The sequence below is a fragment of the Homo sapiens genome, chromosome 17, assembly GCF_000001405.40.
Source record: "Homo sapiens chromosome 17, GRCh38.p14 Primary Assembly".
NCBI classification, from domain to species: Eukaryota; Metazoa; Chordata; class Mammalia; order Primates; family Hominidae; genus Homo; species Homo sapiens.
Genome location: NC_000017.11, coordinates 61,361,580 through 61,384,868, shown reverse-complemented (window position 1 = coordinate 61,384,868; position 23,289 = coordinate 61,361,580). Strand labels below are relative to the sequence as shown.

The 23,289-nt window shown below is 49.7% G+C and overlaps 1 protein-coding gene and 1 long non-coding RNA gene across 9 annotated transcripts in view, besides 1 other annotated feature; one reads left to right on the top strand and one right to left on the bottom strand.

Moving 5' to 3' along the window:
* BCAS3 (BCAS3 microtubule associated cell migration factor) overlaps positions 1-23,289 on the bottom strand; it is a 714,981-nt gene that overhangs the window by 7,963 nt on the left and 683,729 nt on the right. For 5 of the 8 annotated variants that reach the window (NM_001353144.2, NM_001353145.2, NM_001353146.2 and 2 more), the window contains one exon: positions 16,375-16,542. In NM_001353144.2, the coding sequence (NP_001340073.1) occupies positions 16,375-16,542 (168 nt within the window). Of the gene's footprint in view, positions 1-4,297; positions 4,364-16,374; positions 16,543-23,289 lie in introns of all 8 variants that reach the window. The other 3 variants (NM_001330413.2, NM_001320470.3, NM_001330414.2) reach the window with 1 other exon arrangement.
* Positions 4,493-4,993: an enhancer, noted in NCBI's record as "H3K4me1 hESC enhancer chr17:59457237-59457737 (GRCh37/hg19 assembly coordinates)". NCBI's record gives its function as "activates a minimal SCP1, AML or CMV promoter by ChIP-STARR-seq in naive H9 embryonic stem cells {active_cell/tissue: H9 hESC(naive)}" and the evidence as "EXISTENCE:reporter gene assay evidence [ECO:0000049][PMID:30033119]".
* On the top strand, positions 17,165-23,201 carry LOC101927855 (uncharacterized). Its single transcript, NR_136397.1, has 3 exons — positions 17,165-17,343; positions 22,064-22,136; positions 23,012-23,201. It is a non-coding gene; the product is annotated as an uncharacterized LOC101927855 (long non-coding RNA).

The window sequence follows — 23,289 nt, the reverse complement described above, 5'->3', positions numbered from 1 at the left end:
TCCCTCAGGCTTCAGAGCTGGCTGCCAGGCCCACAGACCAGGGGTCCTCTTTGCCTACCAGCAGTGAGCGCTTGGGAGGACGGGGGTGCTGGGGCTAGCAGGGACTGAGAAAGGAGTCCCCTTTCTCCCCTGGCAGAGTACATGCGGTCACCACATGCTATACCAGGGGAGAGAAAATGCTGTGCTGACCCAGCTCCTCTGTCGCTGGTTTGGATGTATCTGAGGACTGGCTGGAGCCATGCTCAGGATCGGCCAGATGTGGGAGAAGCCCTGCCCTACCACTCCCTGTGGATGGCCCAGGGAGGAGGAGGACTGTGCGAGGAGGCCGAGACTTCACTCTGGCCTCAGTTCTGTCACAGATGTGCCAAATGACCTGGGCAAGTCACTTCACTTCTCATCTGCGTCAGCATCTGTGGCACAGGAGGGGAGGGTCTGCTCTAGTGACCTCACTGGGCGTGTACGGCTCTAATGAGAAAAGCAAGTGGGGGGCTTTAAGAAGCAGAACCCGCACTGGACACACACGTGAAACTGGGTAAAAAAATACGCTTTGCTGCCTCTGCTGTCTTTAGCAGCGGAGGGCCCTCCAGGAGCGGGGCTGAAATGTCTCTCCTAGCTCCAGCTACTCCATGCCAACCTGGGGGCAGAGCCTTGGCTGATGCCATTTAGGGTGGACTCAGTGCCGAGGGGCATGGCAGGTGGGCTTGGGGGATGGAGAATGCCCGGCCAGGTGCTGCCACGCCACCACTCTGTGTGGATGCCAATGGGGGGCCTGGAGGAGTCTCAGGCACCGGCACACAGGCCCGCTCTGCCCGGCTATGAAGAGGGGACAGGGCTTGGAGACTCGTCCTTGGCACTAGGTGCTGGCAGCTGGCCTTGACCTGCCTGTGTCCTGAAGTCCAGCCCTGAAAGCCTGGAAGACCCACCCTAGTTCCCAGGAAGGGGTCTCCCCGAGCTACCCTCCAGCGTGACGAGATAGCACTGAGCCCTGCAGACCACAGGAGAGTGGCTGTCCTTTGAGAGCTGCTGGCCGGCGGGCCAGAGCCACATCTGCTTCTCATTCAAATGTCCAAATGTAATTAAATTCCCTACGACGCAGCGGAAGAGTTTGGTAAGATGTGGCTTTCCCCTTTTCCATCAAGGTTAAGAAATCACAGTCTCTCATTCCACAGGCAGACGCGCGTTCCTCCCTGCCACTGGTCCGTCCTATTCTGCAAAGGCAAAGGCCTGTGCTCTTATCTGTTTTCTAGAGCTTATGGGGCTGGGGCCAGCATGGGATACACGGATCTCCCCCACCCCCGTGTTCCATTTACCCACCTGAGAGGATTAACAGCTGAGGCCAAAGCTGCGGGCTTGCAGCCGAGCAAGACAGTGTGCTGGGGGTTCAACAGGGGTGGGGGTGGTGAGTTAGTGCCCCTACTCCTTCTGAAAGTGTCTCCCTGACCCTGAGGAGACAGCACTGTGCCCAGGCTCACCTCAGTGACACACCAGTGTCCTTCCACTGCTGGGATGTGAGGGTGTCATAATACCCTGCTGAGGAGACCCCGGCTTGCTTTGTAGCTCCTCACAGTAGGAAGTGCTTGAGGGTTACGATTCTGGAGTCTTTGGGACAAGGACCTCCCTGTACCTGGCCTGGCCCGGCCCTACAGCCCAGGACACGGTGAGGCCCTTCCCCACCTCTTACTTCTCACCTTGGGGCCCTGGGACTGCGGCAAGGAGGCGCCCCTCTCCCCGCCCCCTCCCTGTACACGAAGGAGGAGAGGTATGAGAGATGGTGGAGGAATCCGTCTAACAGACAAGGCCCAGAGTGGTGCCTGGCCCTCTCCAAGAATCTCCAGGACCTCCATGTCTCTCAGGACTGTTTGCCACTTCTGGCCTGGAAGGGCTCTGGACAGCTGAAGGGACAGCAGGGTCCAAGGTGCAGTCCTCTGTGAGAGGGGGTGCCCTGTTTCAGGCTTCAGTGCCTCTGCCCCTCGGCCTCCTGCCCAGGACTTCCCCATATCCAAATCCAGGCAGAATGGTCCCTGGAGGGCTGCTTTTCCCGGCTTCCCTTCCCACTGGAGGATCTTCTGTTCATGGTTTCTTTCAGTTCATGGCATTTATGACTTTCATGGTAATGGTTCCATTCACCTTCCCCTATGCCAATTTTTCTAATCATTGTGGTACAGGCTTTATGAGAGTTTCTTTCTTTCTTTCCTTCTTCCTTTTTTTTTTTGGAGGCAGGGTCTTGCTCTTTCACCCAGGCTGGAGTGCAGTGGTGCAATCTCAGCTCACTGCAACCTCCGCCTTCTGGGTTCAAACAATTCTCCTGGCCAGGCGCGGTGGCTCACGCCTGTAATCTCAACACTTTGGGAGGCCAAGGTGGGTGGATCACCTGAGGTCAGGAGTTCGAGACCAGCCTGACCAACATGGTGAAACCCCATCTCTACTAAAAATGCAAAAAATTAGCTGGGTGTGGTGGCGGGTGACTGTAATCCCAGCTACTGGGGAGGCTGAGGCAGGAGAATCCCTTGAACCTGGGAGGCGGACATTGCAGTGAGCTGAGGTCGTGCCATTGCACTCCAGCCTGGGCAACAAGAGTGAAACTCTGTCTCAAAAAAAGAAAAAAAAAAGCCAAAAAACAAAAACTGATTCTCCTTCCTCAGCCTCCCAAGTAGCTGGGATTACAGGCACGCGCCACCATGTCTGGCTAATTTTTGTATTTTTAGTAGAGATGGGGTTTCACCATGTTGGTCAGGCTGGTCTCAAACTCCTGACCTCAGGTGATCCACCCTCCTTAGCCTCTCAAAGTCCTGGGATTATAAGCGTGAGCCACCGCGCCCGGCCCCAGGCTTTATGAGAGTTTCTTAATAAGTGGGGGTATTTTTCATTTTGAAACAAGCTGTCCTGAAAGTTAATGACTTATTGCGGCTGTGGCTGCTACCCAGAGACCAATGAAGGTTGGGGAGAGGATGACCAGTTGGGGATAGGAGAGAATTTTCTAGATTAATAATGCTGTGCTGAGGTTGAGGTCCCTTTAAGACTCCTGGCCAGCTCCTGTGTTAGAGTCCCACATGCTGCTCACAGCAACCCTACCAGAGAACCAGAACCACATACAGGCACACATGGCATCTGCGTGCTGAAGAATGCTGGCCCTGGGGACAGGCACACACACGCAAGTTGGTGTGAACCAACCAATCCCAATGTCACTGACCTGGCTCTAAACAGGAAGAGCTTTTTCGGTTTCCAGATGGTAAACCTGAGTTTAGTAATAGATTTAACTTCTCGGTGGCATTTAGCGTCTGGTAGCCTTGACATCAGTGAACAAGGTTTGAAGTTAAATAACCCAGTTCTTGGTCTAGTGTTCTAGGCCAAGCCTAGCCAAAGGAATGGTGTTGGGGCACGGCCTCTGTTGCCCTCTTTGGGGTCCCAGCCTGTGTCTCAAGCCCACACGCCGCGGCTGGGAAAGGATCACAGTCTCAGCTAATTGTGGTGGTGCCGCCGCCCGTCCAGATGGAAACGGCCTGGCTGATGCCGGTCTGCCTTTGTGCGGTGCTCACAGACTGGCTGCTGGTGCCGGGGCTCTATTCATTATTCAATTCAGCTGGCTCAGGCGAGCCTTTCCATTTGCTCCTCCAGGAGGAATAACAAATCTAGAAATGCAATTCCACTTTGGTGTATTAAGATATCGATTTGCCTGTCGGGTGGAAGTGCATTTGTTCTGTCAGTCCTCCCGTGGGTAGGAAGGGGTTAACCAAATGTTTATCACAAGGCTGGCTTCAGAGTTGAAAGTAATGTGATCAGTAATGAATTTTGTGTTACATTAGGTTGTATAAATGGACAGACAAGCGCAGACAACAAGTGGCCAGGAGTCGGGGCTAATCTAATGATGTAAAAATAGAGACAGCACCAATTATACTAGGGGCCAGCTCCAGGCTCCTGCAGGGACTGCAAATGAATAGGTACAAATCAAATTACTCACTAATAGACGCACTACAAGAGGGGCAGTCAATGGTAAATGCATTAGAGCCTAGTGACCTCCCTGCTCTGCACAGCAGAGTCCGAAAATTTCACTTCCATCTTCAAAGTGGGGGGCAGGGAGTGGCGTTCTCAAAGAAACTCTTGTTGGGTGAAGGATGACAACCACTCCCCATCCCAAACCAGTCCCCTTCCAGAAGAGACCTCCCATCTGAGCTGACCCCTGCCCTCCCTAGAGTGCTCCTGGGCCTGGGCACGAGGGGGTAGGAGGGCACCCTCTTGAGGGACAAAAGAAGCAACGGGACAACCCCTTCCACATAGGCAAAGATAGGACGTTACATACCAAAACACTTCACTGCCACGTGTCTCTCAGGGGGGAAGGTTTTTACTGCTACGTCAAGGGCTGTGTCTGTATTGAAAATAAAATATTCCTTTAAAGCGGATCACAAACTGGACCTTTAAGAGAGCAGGAAGAGCTGAGATCAAAGTGAGTCGATACCCAAATCTGGTTTGACCACTGAGAGCTTTGCGGGGGTGTTCATGGTCTGTTCCCAGGCACAGCACATCTAGGGTTTTACAGATTTCTCACTAGCCTAAACTGGTATCATCCTTCCCTCTCTCCCTCCTCCCCAGTCCAGCTGCCTGAGTTCCTACACTCCTGCCTGCTGCACAGGGCTGGGGTAGGGAATGATGTAGAGAGAAAGCCGGCATCCTGGGTAACCCCTCAGATTTTCTTCCTCCTCTCAGCTTCCGTGGATTTAGAAACCAGGTCTGAAGTTCAAAGCTGCATGGCAGTGTGTGGTTGGGCTGCTTAGAGAAAGGTCACAAAGACCAGCTCAAGGGCACTAACCACAGGATCCTACTCAGCTCTCAGTGGTCGGGGATGGATAACGCATGAAACCGAGAAACTCCAGGCCTTATAAGGCCCCAGCCCAGGCTCGTACTCCACCAACCCACCCCTCGGGTCAGCACCAAACAGTCACACACACCAGCATGGAGATGGCACGCTGGCCCTGGCCAACTGGAGCTGGGAGATGATGGGAACATTCCAGGAAAACGAACACAGCGGGCGTGGAATGGAAAAGTCATCCTGAACAAATGACACGACTGGATGGCGCTTCTCCCAAAACTCAATGAAGGGTGCAGAGGGGTGGAACTGCAAGCTAGCGGGCTACACCCCATAAAACATATGTGGGTAACAGGGGAGGGCTGCGAAGCCTGGTGCTGGGGGATTTTGCCAGCAAATTAAAAAATGTCTTATGCAGTGGGCCGGCAGGTCCCCGGGGGCAGGGGTGACGTGGGAGGAGGAGTGGGCAGGAAGAAATAAGTAAAAGGCCAAGGCTGGAAAGCTGTTTCCGGGATGGGCTCCAAAATGCCTTCTTCTACTAGGGAACTTCACTTCTCCGTTAAGTTCAATCGGATGGGCTTGGCTTGGCCTTCTTGGTACAGTGCTCTATGGCTTCTAGGAGCCAAGATTCTGGATTCCTAAAGGGTCAGAGGGTCATTGCCAACTTTCATTTTCTGTGAGCAAGTGTGTCTCCCTCTCTCAGCAGCCACCACATCCAGGGGGTGGCCTCCACATCTCGGGCCATGTTTCGAGAAGGCAGAGGGGCAGAGGCAAGGGCAGAAGGGAAAGGTGGGAATTTAACCATCCATGACCGCGTTCAACTTTGTTCAGAATCTCACGCCTCACAGAAAGGTCAGTGGTTAACAGTCAATACTGTGGCAGAGGAGGAGGAACAGGGAGAAATCCTCCCTTTTGTTAACCATTTACCTATGTTGATGCTTCCAGAGGAGAGCCTGGCTCTGGGGGTCCAACAGCCCTCCCCCAGCCCCTCAGTCCAAGCCTGTGCCTATCCACAGTAATTCCTGCTTTCATGTTGGGGCAGCACCTGGAGAGGGGACTCTGAAGGGTCACAGAGGTCGCACTGGCACTTCCTCCTTGTTGATAGGAATCACTGTGCCTTGGTGAAAGAGTTGAAAAGTCACTTTAGACAACTAAGAAATATGCAGAGGAGAGTCTCAGCCCAAACTCCCATTACAGCTCTGCCCCTGGCGGGGCTTCCAGTAGCCTTAGTGACGAAGGTGGGGTGGGGGAAATGATCTACCCAGAATCAGATTTGAGACCTGGCCAGAAATTAACAAGTGTGACTTTTAATCAATAACTATTCCCATTGCTTTGACTGGCTTTCATTTACCTCTCAGGGGCCACAGAAACCCATCCAGTCACTCAACAAACATTAACTGAGGCTCAGCCTGGCTCTCCTTCCAGTGCTGGTTGCTGGGCAGGGAGAAGGCTGGTGGTTGGGGATAACAAAGATGGTTCAGACTCAGTTCAAAGAACCAGTAGTGGGTCAAGACACTCGTGGGAGTATGGGTGAGGGAGGGGCTGAAGGGACCACCAGGGCCGGCCCTTTTCCAATGGCAAAACGAAGGGAATTGGTGAGCAAGTTAATGGAAAAGGCAGCATACACTCTTTGCCCAGGGCCAAGTATCCAGCAAGTCGGTGGTGCAGAAATTCAGAGACAGAGAGAGTTGCACACATTTGGCTTCATGGTCAGGGAAAGCAACACAGAGGAGGTGAGATTTGAGCTTGGCCTAAGACGACGACTGGGCAGGATGGGAGGGCAGCGGTCCTGAGGGGTGACCAACATGCACCAGGGCCAGGTAACAGGGTGCATGCTGGGGATGCTGGGATCCTATATTGGCAAGAAGGTGGAGGAGGTGAAATATGCAGAGGTTACTGCAGAAGGGGTGGGAGGTCAGGCTGGAAGGGAAGGTGGGGAAGGCCTGTAAGAGACAGAAACATGATGGCAAGGAGCCTGGGTGCAATGTGCAGGCCTGGACACTTTCTGAGCAGGGAAGTGCAACGGCAGTCAAGGCAGGCCCTGCTAGTGACAGTCCCCTTCCTCTGCTGGATCCCTACTTATTCTGAATAAAAGGTGAGAATAACTGATAAAACTCCAACCCTTCAGACCATGGGAGACCGGCAGGATCTTAATAACTGGAACCTCTTCCCAAATTTCTTATTTTAATCCCACATCTTTTAGTTATACTCTCACTTCAAATCTTTCGTTTCCTCCTTTGTAAACTGGAGAGGGGAAGGTCTACCTGGCAGTGCTCTGACAATTAGAGGACATTTATGTGGCAGGCAGAGTCTTAGGCGTACAAGTCCCACGGGAGGTGTGGCCACTGCTATCGTGGAGAGGAGTAAAAGAGAGAGACCGAGTGCTCCCTGCAGCAGCCAGGACATCAGAGTTACAGGAGGCCAACGATTACTACATTTACTAGCTCCTCCTCCCCACACTGTGTCACAGAGGAAGAAACTGGCCCAGAGAGGGAAAGGCACTTGCCCAGGGTCACAGGTTTACCCCATTGCTTGATGAGGGCTTCAAATCCCATCGAAAAGGGGAAAAAAACACCACATTCTTCCCAATAGCGGGAGCTTGGTGCTGGGAACTGAAAGGACTCTCAGATTTGGCCTCTCCTGCCAGTGGAAAATAGCTAGGAATAGGCAATCCGACACTGAACCGAGACACAAATAGCAACACCAACAACACCACCCCTGCCGAGGCCACCGGCTGTCCCACAGTCTCGCTGGCGCAGCTGCTCCCTCTTGTCCCGAGTAGGGATGCTTGTGACCTGCTGGTGGGACTGGGCTCTCTATCTGGTGGCCCTGTGCCTCTGGGGACACTTTCTTCTCTCACCCTCAGCAATCAGGGCATTAGGCACTGGGGAGTTCCAGCTTTGCCTCCGCATCCTAGAAAGACCATGCCCTGTGGGCAGGGGAGCACTCCTGACTTCCACTTGGTCCAGCTCAGCTAGGGAGGCCCAGCGGGAAGCTGGGGGTAGAAGTCAGAGAGAAACAGACCCACCGTTCAGTATTGTGGCCTCCTCTGGGGCTTTAATCTCTTTGAGGGTAGGAAACTTGTCTCTCTTATTTTTCTCCAGCCTATTGGGGAAGAAACTGGCAGATACCGATGGAGACCCTGCCTGCCCCAACCACAGAAAGAACACGTTGGGCCACTGATGAGGTCATTAAGAGAAGACACTGAGAGAACTTTTGTAGATGCTGTAGAAGGAGGAAAACTCCAGGGCCCAATTAGATAAGGCAGAGGAAAAGCCCTAGGTTCTGGCTAAGTTGCTTGGGTGATAGCATTTGCTGAGACAGGTGCAATTTTAGGAGCACTGGGCAATCAGAGATATTACCCAGAGAAGCCTAGAGACTTTGGCAAGAGAGCCAGACCAAGCCAGAAGCTATGGCTTGCACAGATGAATCACCCTTGTGCATCTTGAGAAGGGGACCCAGGAAGTTGGAGAGGTAAGGCTTGGAGGAAAAAATTAAAAGACAAGACTGGGTCTCATGGGCGGCCACACTGGGGATCCTGGAGAGGAGAGCGATTCCTACTTTCAGGAGGCCGAAAGACTAACCCTTCCTGGGTATCTGGGGTAAATACCAGTTTGCCTGATAGAGTGGCTGTAGGAAGAGGAGAGAAGATTCTCTGGAAAGATCAAAGCAGCTTGGTGGTTGTGTGTGGTAGGGAAGCAGGGAATGTGACCTATGGGGCTATGAGCCACGATGGCCCTGTGAAGGCAGCATCTTCAGCTCACACAACCTCCGGGTTTGCTTAGGACAGGAACAGTGTGGCTAACCCAGGACCCATAAAGGAGGCTCACCTTTCACTTAGAATCAGAGAATCTCAGGTTTGGGAAAGGGACCTGAGAGGCCCACATAACACATGTAAATGTCACTTCTCCAGCTTTCTGGGGCAACACTGTCAGTTCCTATTTCCATGGCCTTGCAATGAGTTGGGCCAGTAGGATGCATCTATCTACCCCTAGGGCTGGACTGGATAAAGTTCTCTCTAAATTGCAGATTTTAAAAATATGTGGGATGCAGAAAATTCTAACCACCACCACATCTTCTGAAATGTCTGCAAAGTCAAATGTGGTCAACTACTTTCTGTAGCGAATACTGATAAATCAATTATCTGCTTTTAAAATGAGACTGACCAGAGAGTAGGGATGGCTAAAAGATAATTGGCCCGGTGTGGTGGCTCATGCATGTAATCCCAGCACTTTGGGAGGCCGAGGTGGGTGGATCACCTGAGGTCAGGAGTCTGAGATCAGCCTGGCCAACATGGTGAAACCCTGTCTCTACTAAAAATTCAAAAATTAGCTGGGCATGGTGGCGCATGCCTGTAATCCACGCTACCCAGGAGGCTGAGGCAGGAGAATCGCTGGAACATGATGGGAGGTGGAGGCTGCAGTGAGCTGAGATTGTGCCATTGCACTCTAGTCTGGGTGACAGAGTGAGACTCCATCTCAAAAAAAAAAAAAAAAAAGATAATTAACACATGGTACTGGTGCCTACAATTATTGTCATCTGATCATGTGGCAACCTGGTATGGGATGGGGCTAATATGATCCCTATTGGAAATGTAGCCTTAGATTGAAAAAGTTCCCAGCCCTCCATACTGACCCAGGCAGGAGTTCCAAGGCCCTTTGGAAGAGCTGATTCTAGAGGCAGGAGAGGGGTCCAATACACTGAGATATTTGGATTAGTTATTTGGTACATATCTGATTGACTCCAGTAAAAACAGCTCATATTTGTTGGGAGCTTACTTTTTACAGTCTTAAAATGAAAGACTTTATTAGTACACACACACACACACACACACACACACACACACACAAATAGTGCTTTTAGGTCATCTTTTGCAAAACATAGCAATCAACAAATATTTGTTATTAACTTGCTGAAACCATCCCGTGATCACTTAAAAACTGCCTAATGTTCAAAGTGTTCTTTTTATGTTAACAAGAGAAAAAGAAAGGCGCAGCCCTTTCAGTACATAAAAGTAGCTTCTGACAGAAATCTTTGGAAGAGCTTTAGTTGAACATAATCTTAAAGCCTTTTCTGCAGAGTAATTAATACATAAATGGGAAAACTCAGAGGATTTAGGTGAACAAGCTAGAGCATTGATTTTCAAAGCGCAGATTGCCATTCACCAATGTATTGTGAAATCACTTTAGTGGGTCACGAGTGCATTTTTTAAAAAATGAAATAAAATAGAAAGTACAAGATAATTCTTAGAATAATAGAAGAAAAGGAAGTACTAGAATGCACTGGCCGTAATATTGTTTTGTGAAGGGTTATAGATGTGGGTGAACTAGGTCAGGAAGTAAAATATGTATATGACAGAAGGTAAGAGGCAAAGACTGAGCCCACTATGTTATCCCCAAGAATAACTACTTCTGGCTAGGGCAGAGACTGTTAAAGAGACGGCAGGCAGGAAAAGATGAAGCCTTTTCCTATCTTTAATGCTGTCACTGTAAAGAAGAATCAGTGAGCCCGGGGCCGCAGGAAGGAACAGTCACGGGGAACAGACAGTCTCCCGGACCCTGAGAGCTGACTCTGTGAGCACTTAAGAGTCAACAGCAGGCCGGGTGCAGTGGCTCATGCCTGTAATCCCAACACTTTGGGAAGCTGAGGCAGGCAGATCACTTGAGGTCAGGAGTTTGAGACCAGCCTGGCCAACATGGTGAAACCCTGTCTCTACTAAAAATACAAAAATTAGCCGAGTGTGGTGGCATATGCCTGTAGTCCTAGCCACTTGGGAGGCTGAGGCATGAGAATTGCTTGAACCCTGGAGGCAGAGGTTGCAGTGAGCCGAGATCGTGCCACTGCACTCCAGCCTGGGTGACAGAGAAAAAAAAAAAAAAAGGAAGTTAACAGCAGCAAACAGATACTCAGATACTCCTGCAACAGAGATGCATCAAGAATACTTTAAATGGGGGCCAGGAACTGCGGTTCATGCCTGTAATCCCAGCACTTTGGGAGGCTGAGGTGGGCAGATCACTTGAGGCCAGGAGTTTGAGACCAGCCTGGCTAACATGGTGAAACTCCGTCTCTACTAAAAATACAAAAATTAGCTGGGCATGGTGGCGCACGCCTGTAGTCCTAGTCGCTCAGGAAAGGGCCCCAGGAGAGGAGGCTGAGGCATGCGATTCGCTTGAACCCATGAGGTGGAGGTTGCAGTGAGCCGAGATCGCACCACTGTACTCCAGTCTGGGTGACAGAGCAAAAAAAAAAAAAAAAAAAACAAAGAAGAAGAAGAAGTTAACAGCAGCAAACAGATACTTCCTGCAACAGAGATGCATCAAGAATACTTTAAACAGGGGCTGGGCATCGTGGTTCATGCCTGTAATCCCAGCACTTTGGGATCACTTGAGGCCAGGAGTTCGAGACCAGCCTGGCCAACATGGTGAAACCTCGTCTCTACTAAAAATACAAAAATTAGCTGGGCATGTTGGCACACGCCTATAGTCCTGGCCACTCAGGAAAGGGCCTGAGGAGAGGAGGCTGAGGCATGAGAATCGCTTGAACCCATGAGGTGGAGGTTGCAGTGAGCCGAGATCGTGCCACAGCACTCCAGTCTGGGTGACAGAGAAAAAAAAAATGTTAACAGTAGCAAACAGATACTTCCTGCAACAGAGATGCATCAAGAATACTTTAAATAGGGGCCAGGCACCATGGTTCATGCCTGTAATCCCAGCACTTTGGGAGGCTGATGCGGACAGATCACTTCAGGCCAGGAGTTCGAGACCAGCCTGGCTAACACGGTGAAACCCTGTCTCTACTAAAAAATACAAAAATTAGCCAGGCATGGTGGTGGGTATCTGAGTCCCAGTTACTCGGGAAGCTGAGGCAGGAGAATTGCTTGAACCCAGAGACGGAGGTTGCAGTGAGCCGAGATCATGCCACTGCACTCCAGCCTGGACAACAGAGCGAAACTCCGTCTCAGAAAAAAAAAAAAAAGGAATACTTTACACACGGATCTGGACCCATGCATAAGGCCTGGGCTTTTGATATCAGATGTGTGAGAGCACTAAAAAGAAAGACAAGGTGCAGCTACAGTTATTGAAAGAGTTAAAGTCGAAAGAGAAAATGTACTTAATATGTACACAGGTGTTTATTTAAAAAGCTTTTTTACTGGTATTAAGTTATATCTTTACCTAGACACAAAACAGTTGGAATAAGTCAATGTTTTGTTTACTTTAAAAATTCTATTTTTCTAGAAAAGGCAATATTGAAAGGAATGTCTGCTAAGCAGGAATTAGTCAAGTTATTTTGAGGGGGGTAACAGAGAGAGGAGGGGGCTTTGAGAGACAGCATTCCAGGCAAAAGGAAAAGTATGCACAGAAGCCTCGCGGGCAAGAGACTGCGTATGCTCGGGGACCCTCTGGGAGTTTAGCTTGGCTGGAGCTGGCCCAGGGCAGCAAGAGATGAGTCTGGAGCGAGGGCAGTGGCTGGTCTCAAAGGGCTTTGGACACCGGGATGGGGAAACTCGAGAGAAGGAAAGGGCCCGAAGAGAGGAATTCAGTTCGTAGACATGTGGATATGTCAATAGGTAGCTGAATAGATGGTTCTGGAGATCAGGAGACAAAGCCAACTTGGAAATTATTTGGAAATCATCAGTTTATGGATAGTAATTGGAGACACGGAAGCAGAGATTGCCAGGTACTGAGAGAGAAGAGACCAGGGCCAAGACAAGGCCTTGAGAAATACGCCTAAGGACGACAGAAGAAAAGGACTGAGAAGTAGCCAGAGGCTGAGTAAGAATTCATCGTCTCTGCGTCTCTATTGCAGACACTGCGCTAGGCACTGTCTTTTGCTGCAAAAGATGGGTGCAAACTGAGAATGGGGGCGGGGCTATGAGGAAAACACAGAGCAGGCTCCAGTGGAGAGTGGAGACCATGGATCTGTAGAGGCACCAATTGGAATAATAAGTGCTCTTTCTTCAGGAACCCAGGTGTGAGAGCAGAGTTGGATTGAGCTCGAATTGGAGTTTGCCGAATGGAAAGATGGAAGGGTGACGGGGCAAGGGGCAGAAGGATATTAGCAAAAAGGCAGTTCAGCCAGTTGTCTTAGAACTGGACTTGCAAATCACATAGGTGATTGAATTCAACTATTTGGTCGGCATCCATCACGGACCAAAGAACTGCCATCTGTCTTATAAGTTAACCATAATTTAAAACTGACCTTCTCAAACTTCAGCATGCGCAGGGATCCTGCTGAAATGCAGACCTCGGCTGAGCAGGGCTGGGCATGGCCTGAGGCTTTGCATTTCTCACCGGCGCCTGGCTACGGATGCTGCTGTGGGTCTGAAGACCACACTTTTAAAAAAATATATATTTTTTAATTGACAAATAAAAATTATATATATTTATCATGTACAACATGGTGTTTTGAAATATGTATACATTTGGAATGGCTAAATCGAGCTAATTAACATGCATTACCTCACATACTTAACATTTTTTGTGTCGAGAACACTTCAAATCTGCTCTCTGAGTGATTTTCAAGAATACATTGTTATTAACTAGAGTCACCATGCTGGACAATACATCTCTTGAACTTATTCTTCTCATCTGACTGAAACTGTGTATCCTTTGACCAAAGCTATCCTTCAACCCCCAGACCACTCTGAATAGTGAGGTTTGAAAAGGTTTCACTTTACTTTGTGGGGAGCTGACCTGCCCTAGGGTACAGCTTACCAACCAGGTGCTGGAGTGCACAGACTGTTACATCTCCAGAACCTCTGTTAGCTAGCTGACACTGTGTGACAGGTTGAAATTGGCCATAATAGGAGTTTTTACATTACAGAAATCCACAAATCAAGGCTGGCTACACCTATGTAACAGTGAGGCGTGCTATAGAATAGGCTTCTGTGTCAGGGATCATGAGAGCAAGTTTTCAGTTGCTCTCTGTGCTTCATTCATACTTTGATAAAGAGGCCATGGGTCCCAATTGCTGTGTCACATGTGGTGCCTGCTGCAAAGCATTAAGGGAACTGACTTAGCTCTGGTGCATCAGAGGACCTATCAGAGGCAAACACTTGGGGATACCTCATTTGTCCTATAAGCCACCTAGAGAAGTAGAGTTGTGGGAAGAAAGAGGGGGACTGAGATGTTGCTATAGGCAAAGAGTGGCTTGCTGGAAATTCTTACCCACGTTGCACTGTATTTCCCCAACTACCTCCGGGCAGTAGGCTGACCTGGGCACGGGTGTACCAGGGTGCCCTTTCAAAGTCCTGGGCTGCACTACCAGGCTGATGCTTTACCTCTAGTTGGAAAATGTGAAAAGTGATTCTCAGCCATGGAAACTGGGTAACTTCCATAACATCTGCTTTGCTTACTGGCCTTTAAAATGGGAGTAGTTTTAGGCTGGGCATGGTGGCTCACGCCTGTAATCCCAGCTCTCTGGGAGGCCGAGGCAGGCGGATCACGAGGTCAGGAGTTCAAGACCAGCCTGGCCAACATGGTGAAACCCCGTCTCTATCATAAACGCAAAAATTAGCTGGGCGTGGTAGCGGGCGCCTGTAATCATAGCTACTCAGGAGGCTGAGGCAGGAGAATTGCTTGAACCTGGGAGGTGGAGGTTGTAGTGAGCCAAGATTGTGCCATAGCACTCCAGTCTGGTGACAGAGCAAGACTCCGCCTTAAAAAAAAACAAAAAAAGAACAAGTTTTTTCTTAAAAATAAAACATACATCGAATATGGTCAGAGAAAACCAACTAAATTCCTTTTGGTGACAGTTTGGGGAGGACAATGAAATCCCTCTGCTAAAAAAAAAAAAAGGGAGTCTCCTATTTTCTGACCTGTGGGTCATGCAGTTTTAATTTCCTCTACCTTTTTTTCTTTCTCTTTTTTTATTCTTTTTAATTTCATGAAACTGCTTAAGGCCACAAAGCCTCTCCTGAATCCCTCAGCTGTCTGGCAGATGCATTGCTGCCAGGGCTGTGCAGGTTACTATGCCAGGCTGAAGTTCCACAGCTGTGACTCAATGCACCTTCAAATCCTCTTGCCGGATGACAGTGAGATGCTCCAAGGGGCTCCTGAGAAGGCGGTGGGAGAGAAGAGCCACCCGGGAGCTCCTCCAGGCCTCGGAAGAGGGAGGCTGCCGGGGATGGGTCCAGTGGCACCGGGCTCCGGTTTATGTGAGCCGAGGCTGGCTAGGGACCCCAGAGATGCAGGCAAAAGCCTGTGCCGTAAGCCACATTCCTCACTTAGGCCCCCTTCCAGGGGAAGCGAAGTCAAGCCCTGGTAAATGCTTCTCATCTCTGGGTCCAGCTGGGAGAACAGTGGCATGATGACATGCTACCCATGTAGCCAAGCTCCCCCTCTTCCTCCCTTGCACCTATCGTTTCCATCCTGTTCATTTGCCAGTTATTACAGGAGCACCACGGGCAGGCCACACAGCTAGTGCTGTGGAGATGACACGTCTTAGTGAAGGAACGGAGGGACCGGCATGGGGATGGATGAGGGAAACGCCTGACCATAAACCTAAACATCTAAAGATCTGGAGGAGCCACGGGGAAGTGGGACTGTGTGATGATGTCAGACATTTCAAGCCCTGCCTCAGTGCTCTGACTCTGAATCTTGCTGGTCCTGATCAGCGCCTGCCCCATTGTTGTAAGTTTCTCCTTACTGGGGTTCTTTGCAGGGAGGCATGTGGAACGGGAACGGAGCAGTGCACAGCAGAGTGACAGAGTCTTGAGAGGACTCAGGCAAGCAGGAGAGAAAAGGCCTCTAGCCAGAGTCAGCTGCACCCAACAGAAAGTTCCCTCTGAAAGGAGGGAAGAGGCCTGCTGGGGCAGCCTCTGTCAGCACAAAAGCAGGGCTAGGGCAGTCACTAACAGCACAGCTATCTAGAACAAAGAAGGGTTTTGGAAAGAAGAGGCAGGCTGTATTACAGCTGTACTGGAGATGGATGATTGGTGGCTTTCCTGAGTGCATGTTGTGTGTGTGTGTTTGCGTGTGTGCGCACATGAACATGCACTTGCCTGGGCCAGGGCTCCCTCATCATTTAAGGATGTCTTCTGATTGCTCTGGGATGCAGGAAGCCACCCAGACCCTAGTTGCTGGACTCGCTCAGAGGCAAGAATGCAAGGCCAAAGGCAGCATGAGGAAAAGCTGGTAGGGGCTGAAACCAGCCCAGCCTGCTTCATGCTTACTCCGCTCAGGTTGGCAGGCCCTACTGAGACTTGCCAATCTCTAAGTCTCCAGCGTGTCTGAAGAGGTACAACCTGAGGACTCAGTGCCTGAGCGCTGCTGGAAGACGTGGGGACACCCCCAAAGGAGGAAAGTGTCCTTCTGGGAGCCACTTGCACAGTGGTGTTGATCATGGCAATCCTGCATGTGGTATTCCACGTGGGAGGGGCAGTTCCACTGGGAGCTCCCCTTTACACAGGGTTTCCCAACACCAGAGCTCCTCAGACGGATAGCCACTGGAGTGCTAACTAAAGAAACCAACAGCAAAAACAAACATATGCCCACAAACGATTCCAGAGAAGCTCTGCACCAACAGGTGCTGGTCCTGACCAAATCAGGCTAGAAGTCTGATGACACCTTTACCTGTTCCGGATCCCACGACGTCCCGGCTAGGTGACTCGGCCATGGCGTCGGCAAGTCGCTCCCGGAGGCCCTCCTCCGTGTGCTCCATGGAGGACATGTGCCGCAGCCCGAAGCCCTCAGGCCAGCTCCCGCACACCTCCAGCAGGGTCACGCTCCTGTCAAAGGTACCTGTGGCACACACGGGACATCTGACGTTGAGTCCACACCTTCAGGGAGCAGGCCATTCTTGTCTACCTCCCACCCGCTCCTCTCCATACCCAGGGTCCATTGTAGCCTTCCTGTAGGATGGAAGCACGCCGCCAACAGACTGGGTAGCGCAGGAGAAATAGCTCATGCCGCTGAGAGAGTGCAGACCTCTGGAGTGACTTCCGTGACACTGAGGCTGGTGGTTTTACAACTGTTTCTGAGGAGCTACAGGGTTCCCCTGGTCTTCAGGGACCACCTTAAGAAGTGGGACGGGGAAGGCAACCCCCTTCCCAGGTTCAACCCAAACGGATCCCTACTTTCCTCTTTTTGATACAATGGGATTCCATCTACAATTTCATTTAGGGCGGGGAGTGGTGCCTTACACCTGCAATCCCAACACTTTGAGAGGCCAACGCGGGAAGATTGCTTGAGGCCAGGACTTTGAGACCAGCCTGGGCAACAGCGCGAGACCCTGTCTCTACAAATAAATAAATAAATAAATAAATAAATTTTCATTTAAAGAAGGGGTTATATAGCCTAATGTTTTTAAAGCTTTCTTAACCATTATATTCTATAACCTATAACCAACTTCCTCATTTTATAGTTGGAGCTCAGAGAAGTTATGGCCCAAGATGGAAGAGCAAGTCTGTGGCAGACGAGGTCCAAGAACTCGCTCTCCTGATGCCTCAGTTGAGAACACGTTCTACTTCACTACCTGGTCTCCCAGCTACCCAAGGGCATATGAACAACCAGGGAATTACTTTGGGGGATACCAGCAAGGAGGTGGGTGATAGCATCTTCGGCAAGGGTCTGTCCTTAAGCCAAAGCTGCTCCCCAATTCCAAAACGTCTGTGGTGTTCTGCTGAACGCTAAGATTAGATCTTACATGTGAGATCACTTCAAAGTCCGAACTTGAATTATTCTACTTTATTATACAGCAAGTCTTCTGTGAAAGCTTATTTCATCCACTCTCTCTCGGAAGGAGATTATAGTCACGCTCTGTTGCTTTAAGCACATACCATTTCCCCAGCGATTAGGTAACTGAATCCACTGCATTTATTGGGCTTGGTTCCTGCCAGCATCGGGAAGATGGGGAAAAAATGCAAATGCCAACGTTTCCCAAAGTTAAAAGTACACGAAACACGCACTCTTTATCAGGCCTTGCTTCTCCTCTTTGATCAGCCGTCAGAAACTATCTTCGCCAGGCAGTGAGGGCTGGGCAGTGTCAGCACACACTCCCTGCCAATGACAGGTGGTAATAGAGAGGGTGCGAGCCCCAGCCTCGGCAGGCGGTCCTGCCTCTGATAATGGCCACAGCATTGAGGTGATAACCGTTAGTAAACACTCCGACAGCCGGTGACTCCATACATCAGCAAAGAGGGCCAGATAATCCTGAACTCTCCTGGCCAGACAAAGGCCCTTGGCCAGCCTGCTGCGATTTATATGTGTGGCAAGGGTCACTACTGGCTCCTGAATTTCGTCAGCCAAGTTTGGCTTTGATTTATCTCGTACCTAATTGTAGGGAAGATTCCTGGCACTGGGAGAATGGGCAGCATCTATAAGGGCATCTCCCCAAGAAGAGGCCCACCTTAGGAGTGGGTTGCTTGGGATCAGCTTGTCAGGTAGGACTTGAGAATGGGGAGCTCCCTCTGCCACCTCTCCATCAAGTAGGGTCAGGCTGTAGATCTGGTAAGCTAGGCTCTGGAAAATGGGGGTGCACGGCTGGGTGTCAGATAATTCTCCCAAGGCCTGAACTGTGCTAGAGCTGTGCACTGGCAGTGCCAAGCTCAGAGCCAACACTCAACCACCCTTGGCAACAACTCCCAGGTGCCTAGCTCCCCAGGGACACACAGGACTGCTGACATCCACTAAGCTTCTGATTCTGCTGCCGACTCACTGCATGATGCACAGCCAGTCCTTCTAGCTCCTTTTCCATCTCTAAACTAGAATGAATAACCCTTTGCCCTGTCTCACAGGAGTGAAGAGATTAAGCAAAGTCCCCACTTCCAGCACTTCCCCCACTAGACCTTATTTGACAAGATCTAGTGCTACAGTGCTAAAGCATCATCGTTTCTCTGAAGGGTCTGCATGCGACGCAAGGACTTAATGATAACAAGAAAACGTGGGCCCTCCTCCTCCCTGTTGGCTCAACTTTTTTTTTTTTTTTTGAGACAGTCTCACTCTGTCGCCCAGGATGGAGTGCAGTGGTATGATCTTGGCTCACGGCAACCTCTGCCTCCTGGGTCCAGGCGATTCTCGTGTCTCAGCCTCCCGAGTAGCTGGGACTACAAGCATGTGCCATCATGCCTGGCTAATTTTTGTGTTTTTAGTAGAGACGGGGTTTCACCATGTAGGCCAGGCTGGTCTTGAACTTCTGATCTCAAACGATCCACCTGTCTTGGCCTCCCAAAGTGCTGGGATTCCAGGTGTGAGCCACCGCACCTGGCTGCTATACACTCAGCTTTCTTATGGACAGAGATGTTTCAGAGCCTGGAAAATTGGGAAGAGAATGACCATTTGTTTTCTCACTTCACAAGAGCAGGAGGTCTGTCTCTAGAAAGGAGCTCAGTTAATGTTTGCATTACTGTGTTCAGAGGTCAAGGCAGGTGGGGTGACAGCGGGACCAAGAGGAATATCAAAAGCCAAAGCAGGAAGAAAACAAACAAAAGAAATTGGGCCAGGCACGGTGGCTCACGCCTGTAATCCCAGCACTTTGGGAGGCCAAGGTGAGCAGATCACTTGAGGCCAAGAGTTTGAGACCAGCCTGGACAACATGGTGAAACGCCATCTCGACTAAAAATACAAAAGTTAGCTGGGCATGGTGGCGGGCACCTGCAATCCCAGCTACTCGAGAGGCTGAGGCAGGAGAATCATTTGAACCTGGGAGGCAGAGGTTGCAGTGAGCCGAGATTGAGCCACTGCACTCCAGCCTGGGTGACAGAGTGAGACTCTCAGTCAATCACTCAATCAGTCAATCAATCAATCAATGTTATAGCAAGAAAGGTTAGGGTAAGATGTTGGGCCCAGTCCATAAGAGATGGTAAAGGCCAGAGGAATATGTAATATTTTAAGGGATAAAGTAACAGTACGCACGAGAAAAGAATCATGAGCTAGTGTCATAGTGGTGGATGGAAATAGGCCTGGACTTCAAGAAAGACTAACACGTGAGCTGTATGATTCCAGGCATGCGTCTCTGATTCCTCATCCATAAAAATGGAAAAACAATACAACCACATAGGATTGTTGTGAGGACTGCAGTAGATAAATGTAAAAGACCTGACACACAGTGAGTGTTCTGTATGTAATAGGTGTGTTCATGTATATGTTCTTAATGACAAATATGTATGCCTTTATACCACTTGGGGCATCATCATAAATTCTGACTATCATAATGATCCTGAGAGGTCGTAGAGGTACTATCCCCCATTTATGGTGGTGAAACTGGAAGCTCTGAGAAGTTACGTGACATGTTCAAAGTCTCTGAGCAACAGATCTGGAACAAGGGTTTCTAATTCTTAGCTTGGAGCTCATTCTGTCAGCTCACACACTGTTTCCCTCAGCAACACCTGCAGTGGAGAACTGTTTTGTTTTGTTTTGTTTTGAGACGGGGTCTCACTCTTTTGCCCAGACCAAAGTGCAGTGGTGCAATCACGGCTCACTGCAGCCACAGCCTCCTGGGCTGAAGAGATCCTTCCACCTCAGCCTCCTGAGTAGCTGGGACTACAGGTGTGCACCACCATGCCCAGCTAATTTTTTGTCAAGATGGGGTTTCACCATGTTGCCCAGGCTGGTCTCAAACTCCTGTGCTCAAGTGATCCACCCACCTTCGCCTCCCAAAGTGCTGGAATTACAGGCATGAGCCACTGCGCCTGGCCAAGAACCACAATATGTGTAAACCACTTCTATCTTTCCTACCATTTTGAGAACTCCTGTCACCTTCAACCAATGACATTTAAAAACCCTTCCCACTCCCAACCAGCCCGAGTTGCTTGGAGTTTGGTGGTGGTGACGATGAGTCACCATGTTTACGGGATGGCACACAGGAGAAACACAATTTGATAGTGGGTCTGTTCTCTCTTCGCATGCGCACAGCTAGGAAGTTGAGGAGCGAAGATGGGAGATATCAGAAGTGTTCAGCAAAGAAGCACCTGATCATTTCTACCGTCCTGAGACGTCATAGAGAGGATACAATCAGTGGTCCTGCTTATCCTGCTAGGAGTCCCATCAGAGGCTCTGCCATACCCGCTGTCTCTTTCCCTTCCACACCTCGTAGCCTCTTTGCTGAGGACAGCAAAGGTGCTCCTGGAATCTCCCTGTCCCAGAGTGAGAGCAAGGCTGCAGGTGTGTTTCAGCAGGCACTGGGGTGAAGAGGCCAAGCCCTTGGAGGGTGAGGTCATCTCTGGGCTCTTGGAAAACTGCACATCTTGTCCATGTTGACAGCACAGCTATCATTCATCTGACCAGCCCAGGGACACTCCATCAGATGAGCTGGCCCTTTGAGTCCCATTACAGGGGAAAGGGTCAGTTTCAAGCAGGGAGAAGACGCTCACTTAGCGCAGGCTGTTTGCAAAGGACAAAATACACACTCTTGGCAACAGACATCTTTTGTTGAAGCAGTGCTCTGCTATTTACAAAGCCCTCTCACATTTGCTATTTCAGTTAACTCACACATATATCAAATATTAGTTAGTGTCCACTATGATATGAGTCGAGCACTGTACAAGGTTCAGAGTGAGTTAAAAAAAAAAAAAAAAAGAGGAGCTTATGTGACTTCACCAAACTATGGGAAGCAACAATGATCACCATTGTATAGGTTTCCATCTTACTGAGTTTCAGAGACATGAGGCATCTGGTTGTAAGTGCAACAGTCTTCGCAGGCTATCTCCTGGGGATTCTTGCCTTTCAGGGCTGCCTCCTGCCCTGAATACTATTTTCTAAGAATGAGTTCAAGTCTTACCTGCTCAACTACCGAAGGTATAAAGACTACTCTTGCTCAAACTCTAACGGCATAAAAGGTGCTCTATCTTTCCAGGTGAAGTTGATGAAAGCTAAGCACTTACTCAAAAAATGTGTGCTTGCATACATAAAATTATGCGGGCAATTTTGGGGCATCTATGGATGCCTCTGAAACCCACCTGTGGACCCCAGGTTAATTAGATCATTCCTGTGGCCTTATTTCCGTACTGCCTTACACTGTTCACATGAACTGCTTTTCTAACTAGTTTAGAAGCTCCCGAGGGCATGAATTCCTCCATAATGAAAATAGGCACCGAACTTTGTACATCATGCTTGCTCAAAACAGGTTCGTTTATTGACTACTTATGAAATTTGACAGTCAGTTTGCAGTCAACACCCTTTGGGTGGGGTACCAGAGCCTGAATATCTAGGGTCAGAGTAGGCAGAAAGTGGAGTTAAAATTAAAAGAGAGGAAGGAAGAAGAAGATAAGTGAGCAGAAAACAATGTCACAATTTTACTCTACTGCCTTCTGTGCACTTATTTTAGATTTGGAGATCCTGGAAATTGGAAAAAACAAAACAATCTGTCTAGGACGGCAGAGAGAGCTGGTCTCATCCAGGTGAGTGTCCCGAATCCTGCTTCCCAGCTTGGCATCCTGTGTTATACTCTTTCCCCAGAGGAGAAATGGGTCAGGTTCTTGGGTTTCACAAACCCATTAAAGGCATGCTGTGACAGCTGGCAAGCTGGTAGCTCCTGGGGAGGCTGGGGGAACACGTGCTTTGCCTTTGTACACCATTGTTAAAGAGGCAAGGAAGCCTAGTGACTGCAGGTGGAGGGGGACAGGTAGGATGCTCCTCTAAGCTGATAGTGTCTAATCACACTCTAGCTATTTAAGAGACTGTGGCACAGCCTCCGCTTTGCGTTAATGAGGTTCTGCCCAGGTTTGGATTTTGCTGAGAGCCTGCTGATCAGATTTCTAACCACCAGGGAGGCCAGATACCAAAAGCAAAACCTGCATTAAGCAGTGCTTTGCAAGATGTAAGCCCTCCTTGGTGAGAGGTTGTGATGATGACGTCTACAATAACTAAGAAATGATCCCAGGCATGATGAGGGGAACCAGTGTAGAGGGGAGCCTCCTTGGCAAGCTTACCAAACTGCTCACCAAACGGAGCTTAAGAGTGCTGCTGCGGGGAGCACCCCTTTCTCCACACTACAAGTTGGTTCCCATAAGCACAGGCTGAGGACATTAGCTCTTCTTGGTGCAATGGTCAATTTCATGTATCAACTTGACTGGACTAAGGGATGCCCAGATAGCCAGCAAGGCTTATTTCTGGGTGTGTCTGGGGGGTGTTTCTGGGAGAGATTAGCATTCGAGTTGGTAGACTGAGGAAAGAAGATTGCCCTCACCATTGTGGGCAGGCATCATTCAACTGAGGGCCTAAATATATTAAAAAGGTGGAGGAAAGGCAAATTTGTTCTCTCTGTCGGAGTTAGGACACTAATTCCTGCCCTTGGACACTGGTACTCCTGGTTCTCAGGCCTTTGAACTTGGACCGGGACTTACACCATCAGCTCCCCTGGTTATATACCACCAGCCTTCTTGGTTCTTCACCTTCAGACAACAGACAGTGGGACTTCTTGACCTCCATTTCCAATTCCCAAAATAAATCTTCTTATATCTATGCATCTCTGGAGATATCTCTTTTATTAGTTGTTTCCTTAGAGAACCCTGGCTCATATAATTAGCCATCAGATGTGTCCACAGATATATT